General features: G+C 42.0%; 1 protein-coding gene across 22 annotated transcripts in view, besides 2 other annotated features; it reads right to left on the bottom strand.

Moving 5' to 3' along the window:
* CGNL1 (cingulin like 1) overlaps positions 1-15,924 on the bottom strand; it is a 174,213-nt gene that overhangs the window by 63,622 nt on the left and 94,667 nt on the right. The window lies entirely within an intron of this gene.
* Positions 445-1,644: an enhancer, noted in NCBI's record as "P300/CBP strongly-dependent group 1 enhancer chr15:57777650-57778849 (GRCh37/hg19 assembly coordinates)". NCBI's record gives its function as "activates an origin of replication core promoter dependent on BRD2, BRD4, P300/CBP, MED14 and CDK7 cofactors, with strong dependence on P300/CBP, by STARR-seq in HCT116 cells {active_cell/tissue: HCT116}" and the evidence as "EXISTENCE:reporter gene assay evidence [ECO:0000049][PMID:35650434]".
* Positions 11,434-11,933: an enhancer, noted in NCBI's record as "H3K4me1 hESC enhancer chr15:57767361-57767860 (GRCh37/hg19 assembly coordinates)". NCBI's record gives its function as "activates a minimal SCP1, AML or CMV promoter by ChIP-STARR-seq in naive H9 embryonic stem cells {active_cell/tissue: H9 hESC(naive)}" and the evidence as "EXISTENCE:reporter gene assay evidence [ECO:0000049][PMID:30033119]".

Here is a 15,924-nt window from a genome sequence, read left to right as displayed (position 1 = left end):
TGCACTGGTAATAAAGGTATTTTAAGTTTGTACACTTAGAAGCTTCATTTGCATCAGGAAATAGTTGAACTGGGCTGGGAAAACTAGCAGCAAAGAAGTAGATAATCTACATAATACCTCAAGCATGGCTGGTAGGGCCAGGTCTACAATTATTGTGACATCTGTAAGAAGTTCTAAAACACCACTCCCAATGGAAATGTAAAACAAGGACAGAATGCAAACAGCCTCCCCCTCAGGAGCATGCAACTATTGCAAGCAGCTGTTGGGCCCAACCAAAATCAGTAGCTTCAGCCTAGCCTTTCTCTTGTGCCAGATACCCCTCTTTGGGTGTCCCACAGATGCCTCAAACTCAACACGGTCAGATTCAACATGCACAAAATGGAAGTCCTCATCCCACTTACCACTCCAAGACATGGACCTCCTCTGTTCCTTCTCAATGCCTCCAATATTCACCAGTCACCTAACGTAAAAGCTGAAGGTCACCCTTGACAAGCTGTTCTCACTCATTCTCTCCAATCAATCCACAGCTGTGAGGAGGGACTTCAGTTAAAAGGCTAAAATTTTGGGAATAAGAGAGAGGAAGACTGGACGGACTCATGTGAGTGACAGAATGGACCAGATTTGGTGATAAGAACAGTTTATAACTCTTGCAGAAGCGCCCAGTATCTGTCTGGCTTTCCAACTGTTTCTCTCTTTCTCGCTGATTTATTTGACCCCCTCTTCCTTTCCCCCCACGACCTCTTCCCTGACTCTTTGCAGTGATATCATTCCCATTTCCACAAAGAGAAACAAAGTCATGTGGCCCTAAAGTTTGGTTAACATTTTCTGACAGATGACCTAACACAGAAGAAGCAGGGAAGGTTGACTGGGACCAAATTCCTTGACCACATCTATTAGCTGATCCCTGAAAGAAGTGAAGTTTCAGGCCTCAGCATGGTGAGCCTGCCCCTGCCCTGGAGCACCAGTAAGGCAGCTGATTCCACAGGTCACCACCTCAGCCTGCCTGAGTCAGCCCGGGCCCTGCTCCTGACTCACCCTCACTTCTGATTCCAGACCCCTGACTCAGCTACTCACACATTCCTGACTTCCTGGCCCTTGACTGGTTTGCTGACTTACCTTGGCAGACCTTTGAATTTCTCTAGGGGCCAATGCTAGACTATTAGGAGAGGTTAGTGAGACTGGGCACCAGAAGAAAGAAATGGCACGTGGCTAAACTCCTTTTAAATCAGCATCTGGAGAGCTGTGCTGCTGCCATCAAAGAATGGCATACAGGACATTCTATGTACGTCTATCTGAAAAGATCCTCCAAATGTATTGTGAGAGAGGAAAAAGGTGGTGTCAAAAGTATGATCCAAAATATATTTTCTTCTACTCTATACTCTTATGCATTGTTCAATTTAATTTAAAGCAAGCTTTTTCTATCATTTGTTTTTACTAAAGCAACTACAAAATAAAAAATTCCACACAATTACAATTTGAATGGGAAAAAGCCTCTGTGGCAAATACTATGACACTTCACATATCCTCCACCACTTACTTTTAACATGAAAATATAATTAGATTTGTAAACCACCAAAAAGGATGTATTCCTATTTTTTGTATAACTCAGGCTGTGAATAAAGATAACTTGTCCAACTAGTAACAATATTTCTATTGCCAAAGGAAAGAAAAATCATTTATTTTTATCCTTCAGGTTGATTCATATTTACTATTTTTGAAATCTCTTTCTAGCAAAATATACAATCTTTTCAAGAATATATACCAAGATAAACCATATCCTGAGCCATAAAACAAACCTCAACAAATGTAAAAGGACTGAAATCATACAGACTGGTTTTCTAACCAAAATGGACTCGAACTAGACAACAGGCAAACACCCAAGCACTTAGAAATTAAACAACACACTTCTAAGTAATCCATGGGTCAAAGAGCAAGCCTCAAGAAAATTTTGTTTTAAACACACACTGACCTGAATGGAAATTAAAATAAAATATATGGCATTAAATGTTGATACTAGAAAAAAGGAAGTCTGAATTCAATAATCGAAGCTCCTACCTCAAGAATCTGGAAAAGGAAGAGCAATATAAACCCAAAGCAAGCAGAAGGAAAGAAATAATAAAGAACAGAAATCAATGAAACTGAAAACATAAAAAAAATAGAAAAAAAAAAACCCAATGAAACGAGAAACTGATTCTTTTAAAAGAATGAGTTCATATCCTTTGCAGGGACATGGATGAAGCTGGAAACTATCATCCTCAGCAAACTAACACAGGAACAGAAAACCAAACACTGCATGTTCTCACTCATAAGTGGGAGTTGAACAATGAGAACACAGGGAGGGGAACATCACACACCGGGGCCTGTCAGTGGATTGGGGGGTAAGGGGAGGAAGCTCATTAGAAGAAATACCTAATGCATGCGGGGCTTAAAACCTAGATGATGGTTTGATAGGTGCAGCAAACCACCATGGCACATGTATACCTATGTAACAAACCTGCACATTCAGCACATGTATCCCAGAACTTAAAGTAAAATAAAAAATAAAAAATCTAAAAACCACTAATCAAATGTTAACAAAAAAAATCAGTAAGATTGACAAACTTCTGGTAAGACTGACAAAGAAAAAAAGGATAAAATACAAATTACCAATATCAGAAATTAAACAAGATATATTACCACAGACCCTGCAGACATCTATAAACAACTCAACACACATCTGACAACTTAGATGAAATAGACCAATTCCTTAAAAAGTACAAACTACCACAACTTATGCGATATTAAATATAATAATTTGAATAGCCTCATAACTATTAAGGAAACTGAATTCATATTTTAAAACTCCCCCAAAAGAAATGTCCAGGTCTAACTGGTTTCAGTGGAGAATTCTACCTAGTGTTCAAAAAAGAATAAACATCAATTCTACACAATCTCTTCCAGAAAATAGAAGAGGAAGAAATCCTTCTCAGCTCATTTAATGATGTCAGTATTATTCAATATCAAAATCCAAATAGTATCCTAAAAGAAAGGAAAACATGAAAAAAGGACTATAAGCCAATATATTTCATTAATATAGACACAAGAATCCTTAACAAAATACAAGCAAATAAAAGTCAGCAATTTTTAAAAGAATTATACAGTAGGATCAAGTGAAGTTTATTCCAGGAATGCTAGGCTGGTTTGATAGTTTAAAATCAGGAGGGAAAAATCACATGATCATATCAATAAATGCAGAGAAAGCATTTAACAAAACTCAAAATCCATTCATGATTTAAACTTTCTTTAAGCTCCAAACAAATTATGAATAGAGAGGAACATTCTCAACTAAAGAGCATCCAATTCACAAAAGATCTATAATTAACATTATATTTAATAGTAAGAAACTGAATACCTCCCCCTAAGACTGAGACTAAGGCTGGGATACCTGCTCCCACCACTCTGATTCAACATAGTATTGGAGCTTCTAGCCTGCGTAATAAGGCAGGAAATAAGTAGCAAAAGGTATATAGATCAGAAAGCATCAGAAAGCAAGAAATAAAACTGTCCCTGTTTGCAGATGACATGATTGTCTATATAAAAAATCCCAAGGAATCTACCACCTCCCTGTCACAAAAAAAAAAAAAAAAAGAAAACTTTGTAGAATATGTGATTTCAGCAAGGTAAAGAAATAAAGGTCCTGATATAAAATAAACATAAATAAAAACATACAACTGCATTTCTGTATACTAGCAATGAACAGAAGGATACTAAAATGTAAAAATATACCATTTATAATCACTCAAAAACATTAAACCCTTAGGTATAAGTTTAGCACAACACATACAGGACTTGTATGCTTGAAAATACAAAATCAAATGATGAAAGCAGTGAACATCTAAATAAATGGAGATTTACTTAGACCATGTTCATGGACTGGAATACTCAACATAGTCATACTCAACCTATCAAAACTTCAGCAAAATTTGTATAGATACAGACAAGGTAATTCTAACATTTATATGAAAAGGTAGGCCAGGCGCAGTGGCTCACTCCTATAATCCCAGCACTTTAGGAGGCCGCGGTGGGCGGACCACCTGAGGTCAGGAGTTCAAGATCAGCCTGGGCAATGTGGTGAAGCCCTGTCTCTATTAAAAATACAAAAAAATTAGCCAGGCGAGGTGGCGGCTGCCTGTAATCCCAGCTACTTGGGAGGTTGAGGCAGAAGAATTGCTTGAATCCGGAAGGCAGAGGTTGCAGTGAGCAGAGATCATGCCATTGCACTCCAGTCTGGGCAACAAGAGTGAAACTCCATCTCAAAAAAAAAAAAGAGAGAAAAGAAAAGAAAAGGTAAAGTAACTAGAATAGCTAAAACAATTTTAAAAAAGAATAAAGTGGAAGATTCAGTCTACCAGATTTTAAGACATAATATAGCCACAGTCATCAAAACTATGTGATACTGGTAGAGGGATAGACACACAGGTCAATGAAACAGAATAGAGAGCCCAGAAATTAACACAAAAATGCCCAACCCACTTTTACAGAGGTTCAAAAGCAATTATTGCAGGAAGAATAACCCTCTCAACAAATGGCGCTGGAGCAACTGGATATTCACAGGCAAAATAAATAAACCTCAAACTAAACTTCCACCTTACACAAAATTTAACTCAAAATGGACTGTGAGCTTAAATGTAAAATGCAAAACTAAGAAACCTTTAGAAAACAAAAACACAGAAGAAAATCTCTGGGATCTAAGGTAGGAAAATAATTCTTAGACTTGACACCAAAAGCACAATCCATAGAAGGAAAAACTAAATTGGACTTCATCAAAACTAAAGACTTGTACCTTTCAAAGACCTTGTTAAAAAGGTTTTTTGTTTTGTTTTGTTTTGTTTTGTTTTACTAGAGATTGGAAGAATGTCTTTACAAACCACATATTTGACAAAGTGCTCATATCTAGAATACATAAAAAATTTTGAAAACTCAACAGTTTAAAAAAAAAACAAACCCCAAACAATCCAATTAGGAAATGGGCAAAAGACATGAATAGATATTTCACCAAAGAGGATATACGTGGCAAAAGAGCACATGAAATGACATTCAACATGATTGGCCATTAGAAAACTGCGTAAAACCACAATATAATATCACATATACCTATCAGAATGGCTAAAATACAACATATTGACAATGCCAAATGCTGGGAACAATTCAGAGAAACTGGGTCACTCATACATTGCTGTTGGGAATGCAAAATGGTGCAGCCATTCTGGAGAGTAGTTTTGCAGGTTCTTTAAAAGCTAAACATGTAATTACCATTCATCCTAGCAATTGCACTCCTAGATATTTATCTCAGAAAAAAATTAAATCACATTCACACTCCTAGATATTTATCCAAGAAAAAAATTAAAACATATTCACACTCCTATTTATCCCAGAAAAAAATTAAAACATATTCACACAAAAAGCTGTGTTCATAGAAGCTTTATTATAATAGTACAAAACAAGAAACATCCCATAAGTCCTTCAATGAGTGAATGGTTGAACAAACTGTGGTGCATCTATACTATAGAATACCACTGAGCAATAAAAAGGAAAGAACCTGTTGATACATGCAGCAGCTTGGAGGAATCTCCAGAGAACAATGCTGAGAGAAAAAAGCCAATTCCAAAAGGTTACATTCTGTATGATTCCATCTATATACCATCCTGGAAATGATAAAATTTAAAAACCAGAGAGAAGTACACTAGTTGGGTCAAGGAGGGATGGGAGGGAAAGCGAGATGGCATGGCTATAAAAGGACAACATGAAGAATGCGGGGAGTGATGTAAATGTTCTATATCTCAGCTGTATCAATGTCAGTATCCTGGTCATGCTATTGTACTATAGTTTGCAATACATTACATTTGGGGGAAACAGGATAAAGGGTATATGGCATCTAGCTGTATTTTTTTTTACAATTGCATATAAATTTATAACTATCTCAAAACGTTTGATTTTTTAAAAATTCTTTTTTAAACTTTGCCCATCTTTAAAAAAAAAAAAAAAAAAAAAACCCCAGGTCTTTCCTGGATCACTGGCTTGACTAACAAACATACTATTTATTGGTTGAGCTGATAATTTCTGGATACAAAGAGAAGGCATTTAAGGTGTACTGTTCATTAAGGAATGATTTGGGGGAAATAATAGAAAATCTACAATGACATATCAAACAAAGTTGGTTTCAAGAGGAAGGGGGATGGCCTAAACCAACTGGTGAGAGTAAGAAGGTTCCAGATCCACTGAGTAATGCCCCAAGTTCACAGACTGATCACTGGAAACCAAAAGCATACCTGTCTCCTCTTTAGAAGGCTGTATAAATTCTCAGCCAGAGCATACAATTTTTTTTAATGAATATTAGTTTCATTCTGAAAGACGGGATATGGGTCATTTAAATTCTTCTGATGTCTTTCCAATGATCTCTTCAAACTCCTGCCCAAAGACCACTAGAGACAGGTACAACTAACTGGACTATGGTATTTTCCCCCACAGACAAATGATGGTTGTAACTTTTTAAAGTATTACATTCAATGCATATTTTCTTTCTTTTTTTCTTTTTTTGAGACAGAGTCTCACTCTGTTGTCCAGGCTGGAGTGCAATGGCAGGATCTCAGCTCACTGCAACCTCCGCCTCCTGAGTTCAAGCAATTCTCCTGCCTCACCATCCCAAGTAGCTGGGATTACAAATGTACACCACCACACCCAACAAATTTCTTTGTATTTTAAGTAGAGACAGGGTTTTACTATGTTGGCCAGGCGGGTCTCAAACTCCTGACCTCAGGTGATCCACCCACCTCGACCTCCCAAAGTGCTAAGATTACAGGCGTGAGCTCCTGGCCTCAATGCATATTTTCATACCCATGCTCAATGCTGTGGATAGAGAGACCCTAGAAATAAGAGGTATAAAAATTACCCATCTCAGGTGATAAAAGTTTCATTTATCCTCTTCTAGAGTCTCACAGTTCACACTTTATTTCAAAAGTCACTTATTTAGTAACCACATACTGCTAATACTGCAATAAAACCAACACTTGCTGCCACAGCTCTTTGGGATAACCGTGAGCCAAAATTCCTGGAGCAGAAATCTCACCTGGCATAATATGTAGCTCACGGCTTCTCCTCTGTCCTTTGCTGTCACCCTCTCATACCTTTCAGACTCATCTTTTCCCCCTTTATCCTCTAGATATTTAGCTCAAACTCCTCTTTCACTTCTTGGTGCTACCAGCTTCCCTGCTTCCTCTCCACACCACCTCCCATCTTCTCACTATCCCTTTGCACTTTTCTCCTTCCTGCCTCCCCTGTACCTCATTCCCATCATACTTCAAACTGCTCTGCCTGTTTTGTTTTGTTTTTTGTTTCTTGAGAAGTTTCTTCAAACTGCTCTGCCTGTTTCATTTTGTTTTGTTTTTTGTTTCTTGAGAAGGAGTCTCATTCCATCACCCAGGCTGAAGTGCAGTGGCACAATCTCGGCTCACTGCAACCTCCACCTACTGCGTTTAAGCGATTCTCCTGCCTCAGCCTCCCAACTAGCTAGGATTACAAGCATGCACCACCATGCCCAGCTAATTTTTGTATTTTTAGTAGAGACAGGGTTTCACAGTGTTGGCCAGGCTGGTCTTGAGCCCCTGACCTCAGGAGATCTGCCCGCCTTGGCCTCCCAAAGTGCTAGGATTATAGGCATGAGCCACCATGCCCAGCCCCTTTGCCCATTTCTAATGCTGATTGTTTCTATTGCTGGGCACTAGTCAGTCCCCAGGCCTCTTCCCTCTAGCTCCTGCCCTTCCTTTCCCATGACCCCTTTTTCTGGCTTACTCTGTTTTTCACTCCCATCCTCCACACCCTCACCTTGGTCCAACTGCCTTCTCCAAAAGTACATGCATGTTTACAGAGCGTGTATTTGTTGGCTGGATAAAGGTGCCAGCCAATGTACTGGAAAAGGCAATAAACCAGGGACCCAAAAGCTGGATGTCAGAACCATCTCAAACAACTCCTTGCACCTTCCTGGAGAGCTGGGGGAAGGAGAGTGGCAAGTGGGCTTCTGCAGTGCTTTGCAGCTAGCTATTGATGGACAATTAATCAGATTCTACTTAAGAGATCAATAAACAGATTAATTTAGATACTCCCTAATAAGGTAAGAATCTGGGCCAGGAGCTGTAGCTCACACCTGCTATCCCAGCACTTTGGGAGGCAGAGGTGGGAGAACCACTTGAGCCCAGGAGTTCGATACCAACATGAGCAACACGGCAAAACCCCATCTCTAAAAAAAATACAAAAAGTAGCCAGAGGTAGTGACACTCACTTGTAGTCCCAGCTACTCTGTAGGCTGAGCTGGAAGGATGACTTGAGCCTGGGAGGTCGAGGCAGCAGCGAGCCATGATTATGCCACTGCACTACAGCCTGGGTGACAGTGCGAGACTCTCAAAAAAAGAATCTACCCTTGGGTCACCATGTATCCTTTCACAGTCTAGGCCTATCTAGCAGCTAATGAGACCTTTTAAGCTATTAACAGCTTTCCACAACACACCACAAGACAATCACTGCTCTGGAGCAGGCTTTATTTCAGGAAAGGGAGGTAGCAATGTCTACAGTGAGAGGATCCCATCCAGTTAAAGTGCCTTCCAGAAGGAGCTGTGCTGTTGACTTGAGGATGTTTAACCAGGTGAACCTTCTCGCAGCACCAGATGCAAAAGATTCGGAACTTCTCAAGAAACAAAAGCTGTGAATTTAAAATGAAAGAAGCTTGGGGGATGGGGAGGCTCTTCACCTGCAATATCTACCAGGCCCACATGTTGTTCTGCCGCCTCTCCTACAGAGCATCTTGATCACTGTGGCCTTTGTCCTCCTACCACAATGAGCGGCTCCCATGGAGAGACAGGCCCCTGACCTTGTGTGCCCTCTTTGTGAGCCCCATGAACACCATGAGCCCACGGTCCTGGCTGCTGGATGCAAACAGGGCCGGATGTACAGGAATGTCAGCCGTAAACTCAGAGACAGGATTAACCTCAAAACAAGAAGTTATTTTGGGGCCTTACTATCCTGTTAGTTAAATGACAGGCCAGACTCTAATTAATTTCTACTAGTGTTTTGACAAGGTCAACACCAGTGGCTACACAGGGGCAAAGTAAATTATTAACCCTCCTTCTCCACTGGGCCTGAATCAGCCAGAGAGTTCACCACCTGCCAGCCACGTTTTCTCTCCAGTTCAGCAGCAGGAGGGGCATGGTACACAGCACAGGCATCTGCTTCTGGCCTGAAGGGTCACTAAGACAGCTACAGGAAGTGGCAATGAGTTGAACCTGCAAGGGAAACAGTTCACAATGGGACGGGGAGAAGGAAGCACTGCACACAGGGTAGGAGCCTGGCATCCTGGTGCCTCCAAAACCCCAAAACCAAGCAGCAAAGGAGCCATGGAAGGCTTCTTCTCACAAAAAGTCATAGGCTTAGAGTCATGAAATGCCTTGACCAGGCAGAAAGAGGTCCCTGTAAATCAGAGAGCATGAGGGGTCCAAAGAACATACCTTTCCTTTGGACTTGGCATATGCTGGACTCAAGTTTAGGGTCATAGTTATAAACCCAACTGGCTCAAAATACTTCCCCAGATGGACTCTATCGGACAACCTCACTGCCTATTTTCCAAAGTTTACTAATGCCTTGGTTCTTGCTCCAAATACATGAAGAACCCAGTGTTTTCCAACGAAGTTTGCTAGCATCTAAGTCTTCGTTGCACTGTCATCCAGCAAACACTTTGCAGAGTAGATGTCTTTGGGCTCTTGGACAATTCAGGGATGGAAAAAACAAGATTTTCCCATCCTCCTGCACCACGTCTCCCTGAATGCTTTCAGATCTATCTCTAATGCCACCTTCTCTGGACTCTATCATTTATTTGCTTGACTTCTTTGTCCCCAGCCTTATTTCAAAAAGTCTTTGAAGCACGTCCAGCCTTTTATTTCTAACTGTAAGGGGACTCAATGTTTCCCTAAACCCAGAGACTGCCAGTATTCCTTCCCACTAGACCACACACTTGAGAAACATGTGCAGAAATTTAACAAATAAAACAAAAAGAAAGAAAAAGAAGGGAAGTGTTAAAAGGAGAAATATGTGTGCTTGGCCATATTCTCTCCTTCATCTGTAAGTTCCCCAAGGATAAGGCCCGTGCATGACTTTGGAATTTCCTGAGGAATGGAACAAGCTTCTCCCAGTCCCCAACTCCTACTCACTGCTGACAAAACAGCATTACTTTATTCATTACTGTGAAAACTGCTGCAGTCACCCTGTGGAGCAAACACCTTGCCCTTTATTTTGTCTTTCATGAAACTAAACTAATAATGCTGGTTCAAACAAGTTCTGTTCCCTAGAGATGACTCGGACAGAGGGATTTTTCCATTGCATCTAACTTGGACTTGTTCTGGCCCACATTTCCAGAATTCTAACGTGTGGTCACCGTGAACACATGACTTACTCTGTAGCTAAAACTCACTAAACCACATCTAATCACTTCAGAGGCCGCCTACTACTCTGATGGTTTCTACTGAATTCTTCTGTCACCAACTATTTGCCTAAATCCATTTACATCTATCCAGTACCTCAAGTAAATAAGCACTCAAGAATATTTGTTGAATGAATAAATACATGAATGCAAACAAAACTATTAGCTGTCTAAGGTAAAACTATAAAAGGCATAAAAATGAATAAGGAAAATGGTTACCCCTAAAGAGGTGTTCAAGTCTCAGAGGAGAACAAGACATACTTTGGTTCAAGAAGTTCCCTGCGTCTAGAATGTCCTTGCCCACCCATAAGTCACCTTGCTAATTCCCACTGCCCCCAAGACTCACCCAAGCCTCACTCCCTCTTAGGAACCCGCCCTGGCCTGCCTACACGGAGCAAAGTCACCCTTTTCCGAACTTCTGCTTTCCGTGCCATATGCCAGCTTCTCATGCCCCACACCGAACTGGCTGTCAGCTTTCTTGTCTGTCTCTACTAGGCTGGGGAAGAGTTGAGAGCAGAGGCCACCTTGTCCATCTCTGCACCCCAGATTTCGCATGATGCTTGATGTGTTGAGTAAACAAACAAAAACTACAGGCAAAGCAAAACACAATAAATGCCACCCGAGGGACAAAAGACCCTGGGGATTTCAAAGAGAAAGAACAGCAGCTGCTGGGTGGACCCAAGAAGGAGATGTCATCTGACCTGAGCCATGAAGGATGGCACGATTTTAAATGGCGGAGACCATAGCTCGGGGGCTGGTGAAGGATGTTGGGGACAGACAGGCTAATATGAGCCGGGGGAAAGAAGAAAGCAAGCAGGGAGACCACTAGGGCACACGCAGAGAATCCAGTGAGAGAGCACAGGACAGCAGGTCAGAAAAGACAGTCTGAGGCTGGAATACGTACAGCCCTGGGAGGATTATTTTCCCCACTGCAAGAAGAAGATTCTTTGGGATCAGAGATGTGGTGTGTCAAAAGTATTCAGTCACTCCATCTATTGCTCATTAACTAGGCTTGGGGTTGCACAGCAGGCATTTATGTAAAAAGAGAAGAAAAGAAAACACACACACACACACACACACACACACACACACACACACACACCACACTTGTATATACATAGATCCCAGTTTCTCAGAGTGACATGATTGACATTTTGGGTCAGATATGTCTCTGTTGTGGGGACTGTCCTTTCTTGCAGGTCAGGATTGCAAAGCAAAGTCCCAGAGGTGGCTAATACGGAGTAACAGGGCACACTCTTCTGTGGAGGTGACAGGGAATCCTTTAGTGTGGCTGGCACCAAGCTCACCAGGGACAACAGTGAGGGCCAGGGTTGCAAAGGCAGGTGGGAGCCAGGTGGTGGAGTGCAGGCCTTGGAGACCAGGCAGGACTCTGTAACTGAAGGGAAGCCACCAGGGACTTGTGAGGGTGGCCAACCTGCGGCAGGTGGTGTGGTCAGAAGGGGGCAACACAGTTGGGGAAATAGGGAGATGGCTGCTGAGGCCTGAACCAGGGCAGCAACTGTGAGAAAGGAGGTCAGAGGATGGAACTGAGCTGCTGTGGATGTGGAAGCCACAGACCTGGGTAGCAGACAGAAGGTGAAGGTCAAGGTCAAGGCAGAGGCAGGGGCCCCCAGTGACAAAAAATTAAAAATACTTCACTAAACTTAGGACTTCTTCTTGACCTGCCTTAGGAGAGGTGCAGATCAATACTCTTATTTCACTGTACATGGAATAAATTCAAAAGATATGAAAGGTTTACACACTGTTTTTTGAAAGTTTTCCTCTTACTCCATCCCCCTACATATCCCCAGAAGTAACCACTATTGACTAGTTATCTCCCTCTTGAAATAATCCATATGTGCACAAGCACATATGCATGTATAGCAATATATTATGTATGTTTTTTATAACACAAATAGTATCCCTTTACAAGAGAGGAAATAAAAACAGAGAAAGACTAGGAGAATTCTATGAAGTCAATGACAAAGCTGGGTTTAAAACCCTGACCTGTCCTTAAACTATGCGGGTGTCCTTTATTTACCTCTACACATTCTGATTCACTCATACAGCAAATACAGGGCATTCTGCAAAGTACTGACGATATGAAGGACAAGACACCCCTCCTTCAAGATGAGGAGCATGACATATCACCTAAGAGATATAGTCCAGCATAACAAGGACTAAACCAAGGGCATGGCAGGATGCTGTGGGTTCTGCTAGAGCCAGTGGCTATCAGAAAATGCAGCTTCAAAGAGATGGTTTGTCAAAATGTTCTATCAGTTGTTTATTCCCGCATAACAAATTGTCCCAAAACTTAGCAGCCTAAAGTGACAAACATTACCTCACAAAGTTTCTGAGGGTAAGGAATCAAGCAGTGACTCAAAGGCTGGGCACGGTGGCTTACACCTGTAATCCCAGAACTTTGGGAGACCAAGGTGGGTGAATCACCTGAGGTTAAGAGTTCGAGACCAGCCTGGCCAATATGGTGAAACCCCGTCTCTACCAAAAATACAAAAATTAGCCAGGCGTGGTGGCACACACCTGTAGTCCCAGCTACGCAGGAGGCTGAGGCAGGAGAATCGCTTGAACCCGGGAGGGAGAGGTTGCAACTGAGCCAAGATCACACCACTGCACTCCAGCCTGGGCAACAGAGTGAGACTCTGTCTCAGAAAAAAAAAAAAAAAAAAAAAAAAAAGAAGAAGAAGAAGAAGAAGAAGAAGTGACTCAATCAGGCAGTTCTGGCTCAGGGTTTCTGATGAGGCTGCAGTCAAGATGTTAGTCAAGGTTATAGTCATCTGAAGGCTTGACTGGGGCCAGAGGATCTACTTCCAAGATGGCACACTCACATGGCTGTTGACAGGTGGCTTCAGTCCTTTGCCACATGGGGTTTTTCGCAGGCTGCTTAAGTGCACTTACAACATGGCAGCTGGCTTCCTCCACAGCAAGAGATCCATGAGAAAGCAAGGAGGAAGCCACATGTCCTTTATGATCAAGCAACGGAAGTCACACTCCATCATTTCCATAATATCCTATTAGTTACACAAATCAGACCTTTTCGACATGGGAAGGGACTATAATGGAGCAAGAGGCCCAGAAGGCTCAGGTCACTGGGGGCCAACGGGCTACTGTAAATGCCTTATGCACTCTGATTAACTTTGCCACTGTAGGTATTCCTGTTTCCATACTGGTTCTTGTCTAATGAATTTAGAGTTTATGACATATTCCATTTTCTGCTTAAAGTGATCAAATCATAACGCCAAATTTTTCCACCAAGTAAAAATCTACTTAATGATCTTGGCAAGTCTTTAGAAAAATATCCATCAGGCAGAATTTAGAGGGTCAGAGAGAGTATAACATAGATTGAATAGGATTTCCAATAATAAAGCTTTTTTCCTTTAGATGTTAAGGATTCAACTGTTTGCAATATTATGGTGGCTGTGACTGTCCCAGGCTATTTATAATAGCCCCACTCACTGCACCACCCAATTCTTGTGGCTTGACCATATCCACATCTGGAAATGCATCTGGTGTAGGGCCATCAGTGAGTAGCCATAGCTCCTTTGTTACTCACACTTCCAGACTCTGGGCAGTGTCCATGGATGGCTCAGAGATTTCAGAACATCCACTCCACATGGGGAGATAGGCAAGCACCCCACTACGTTACTTTCTCTGCTTCTGTAAGTGTTTAAATGTATTCCCACCGCTGACCCATTATAAAAGCCTTATTAGGCAAGAAACAAATAAAAACTTTCCTCCTACAAACCTTCTCCGTCAGCATACCAAACTTCTGCCTTCAGCTATAAGCCCTATCATCTCTCATCCACCTGCCCAAAGACACATGTTATAAATTCAGCAGACTGGCACTTAGCAAGGAGCAAAAACTCATAAGGAAAATGGGGCCCTACATAATCCTATTCCCATCCCTTTCTCCACAGGAGTCAGGAGAGACAGGGACAGGTAATAATCCCTTTAAAAATAGAATGAAATTGTGGAAGAGACCTCAAAGATCCCGTGCCTCCATCCTAAGTGTCAGCATGAACGAATCATCCCAGGGCCTCCCACCTCACTGGTCAAGCCCAGAGCAGGCACTTTTCCATGGAAGTAATCTGTCTGTGTCAAACATTCACACTCCCCCACAAAAACACTACACACACACCTGCTTGTCTGTCTGTCTCTCTCTCTAAAAATCTGTCCTTCGGATGCTCCATACAGGCTGCATGAGCTGTTCCCTATCTGCTTCTACTTCCTCTCATACCAGACTTTCAACCACCCTTCACAGCCCAGCCTCACTTGCCATGGTTTAACAGCTTGAACAAACCACACTCCTTTCTGCTGCAAGCCCCCTTGCACATGCTATTTCCTCTGCTTGGACCAGTCTCTGGATTTTTAAAAATCTAGTTAATTCCCATTCATCCTTCAGATTTCCATCATCGTTTTCCTCAAGGAAACTTTTTCTCCCTCCCTGAACTTCAAAGCATTTATCACATCTGAATTACACATGTATATATTTTTTTCTTTTTTCTGAGATGGGGGTCTTGCTCTCTTACCCAACTGGACTCAAACTCCTGGGCGCAAGTGATCTTCCTGCCTCACACACCCTGGTAGCTAGGACTACAGGGTGCACAACCACACCCAGAAAATCACACATTTATCCATGTGATTATCTGAATAACGTCCTTCTCACCCCTTTTCTCCATGTTATTCCTACAACCCAGCGCAGTGCCTGACATAAATAAAATGCTCCTTAGATATTTGCTTAATTAATGACCATAAATGAACTATTTATTGGATGGATATTCCAAAAACTGTATCAACAATCCATTCCCAACAGTTAGACATTGACACTGACTATTGAACACGAAATCTGAGTGGTTTGAGCCTATTTTCCTCATCACTGTTCATCGCAGGTGGGAAACAGGCAAGGGCCCTCCTCACTCCATCGGTGAGCAGGAGGCCCCCCCAGAAGGCTAGGCATAGGCAGCCTGACCACGCGACCAAGCTCCTCAGCTGTGCTTCCAGCGCATTACCTCCTTCTCTACCCAACTAAGTCTTGTCACTTTCTCCGCACGCTGCCTGTGAATTTGCTGTGATTTTGAGTCATCGAGGTGCCCTGGGTATCAGCCCTACCTTCTGCTCCTTATTGGAACTGCTAGAAAATGCCAGCCTGCTTAAACATGTTCATGAAGCACCAAGGTAGGGTCATTAAAAATTACCCAGTGTCCTACCTCTCCATGTGAGGGATCCTCCTAATGGAATTCTCCATCAGTTCTTCCTGCACTGTGAGGCTAAAGCCAAAATCCTCTCTACAGAATAGCAGCTGCTAAATCTACTCGCCAAAAGCCCTAATGGTAGACCTGGAAAGAGAAGCCCTTTATTCTGTCATCCTAGCCAGGAAAGGTAGAGGCTCTCCTCAGAAATAGTTT

Source organism: Homo sapiens, chromosome 15 (assembly GCF_000001405.40).
Source record: "Homo sapiens chromosome 15, GRCh38.p14 Primary Assembly".
Classification (NCBI taxonomy): domain Eukaryota; kingdom Metazoa; phylum Chordata; class Mammalia; order Primates; family Hominidae; genus Homo; species Homo sapiens.
This window is presented reverse-complemented; position numbering and strand designations above follow the sequence as displayed.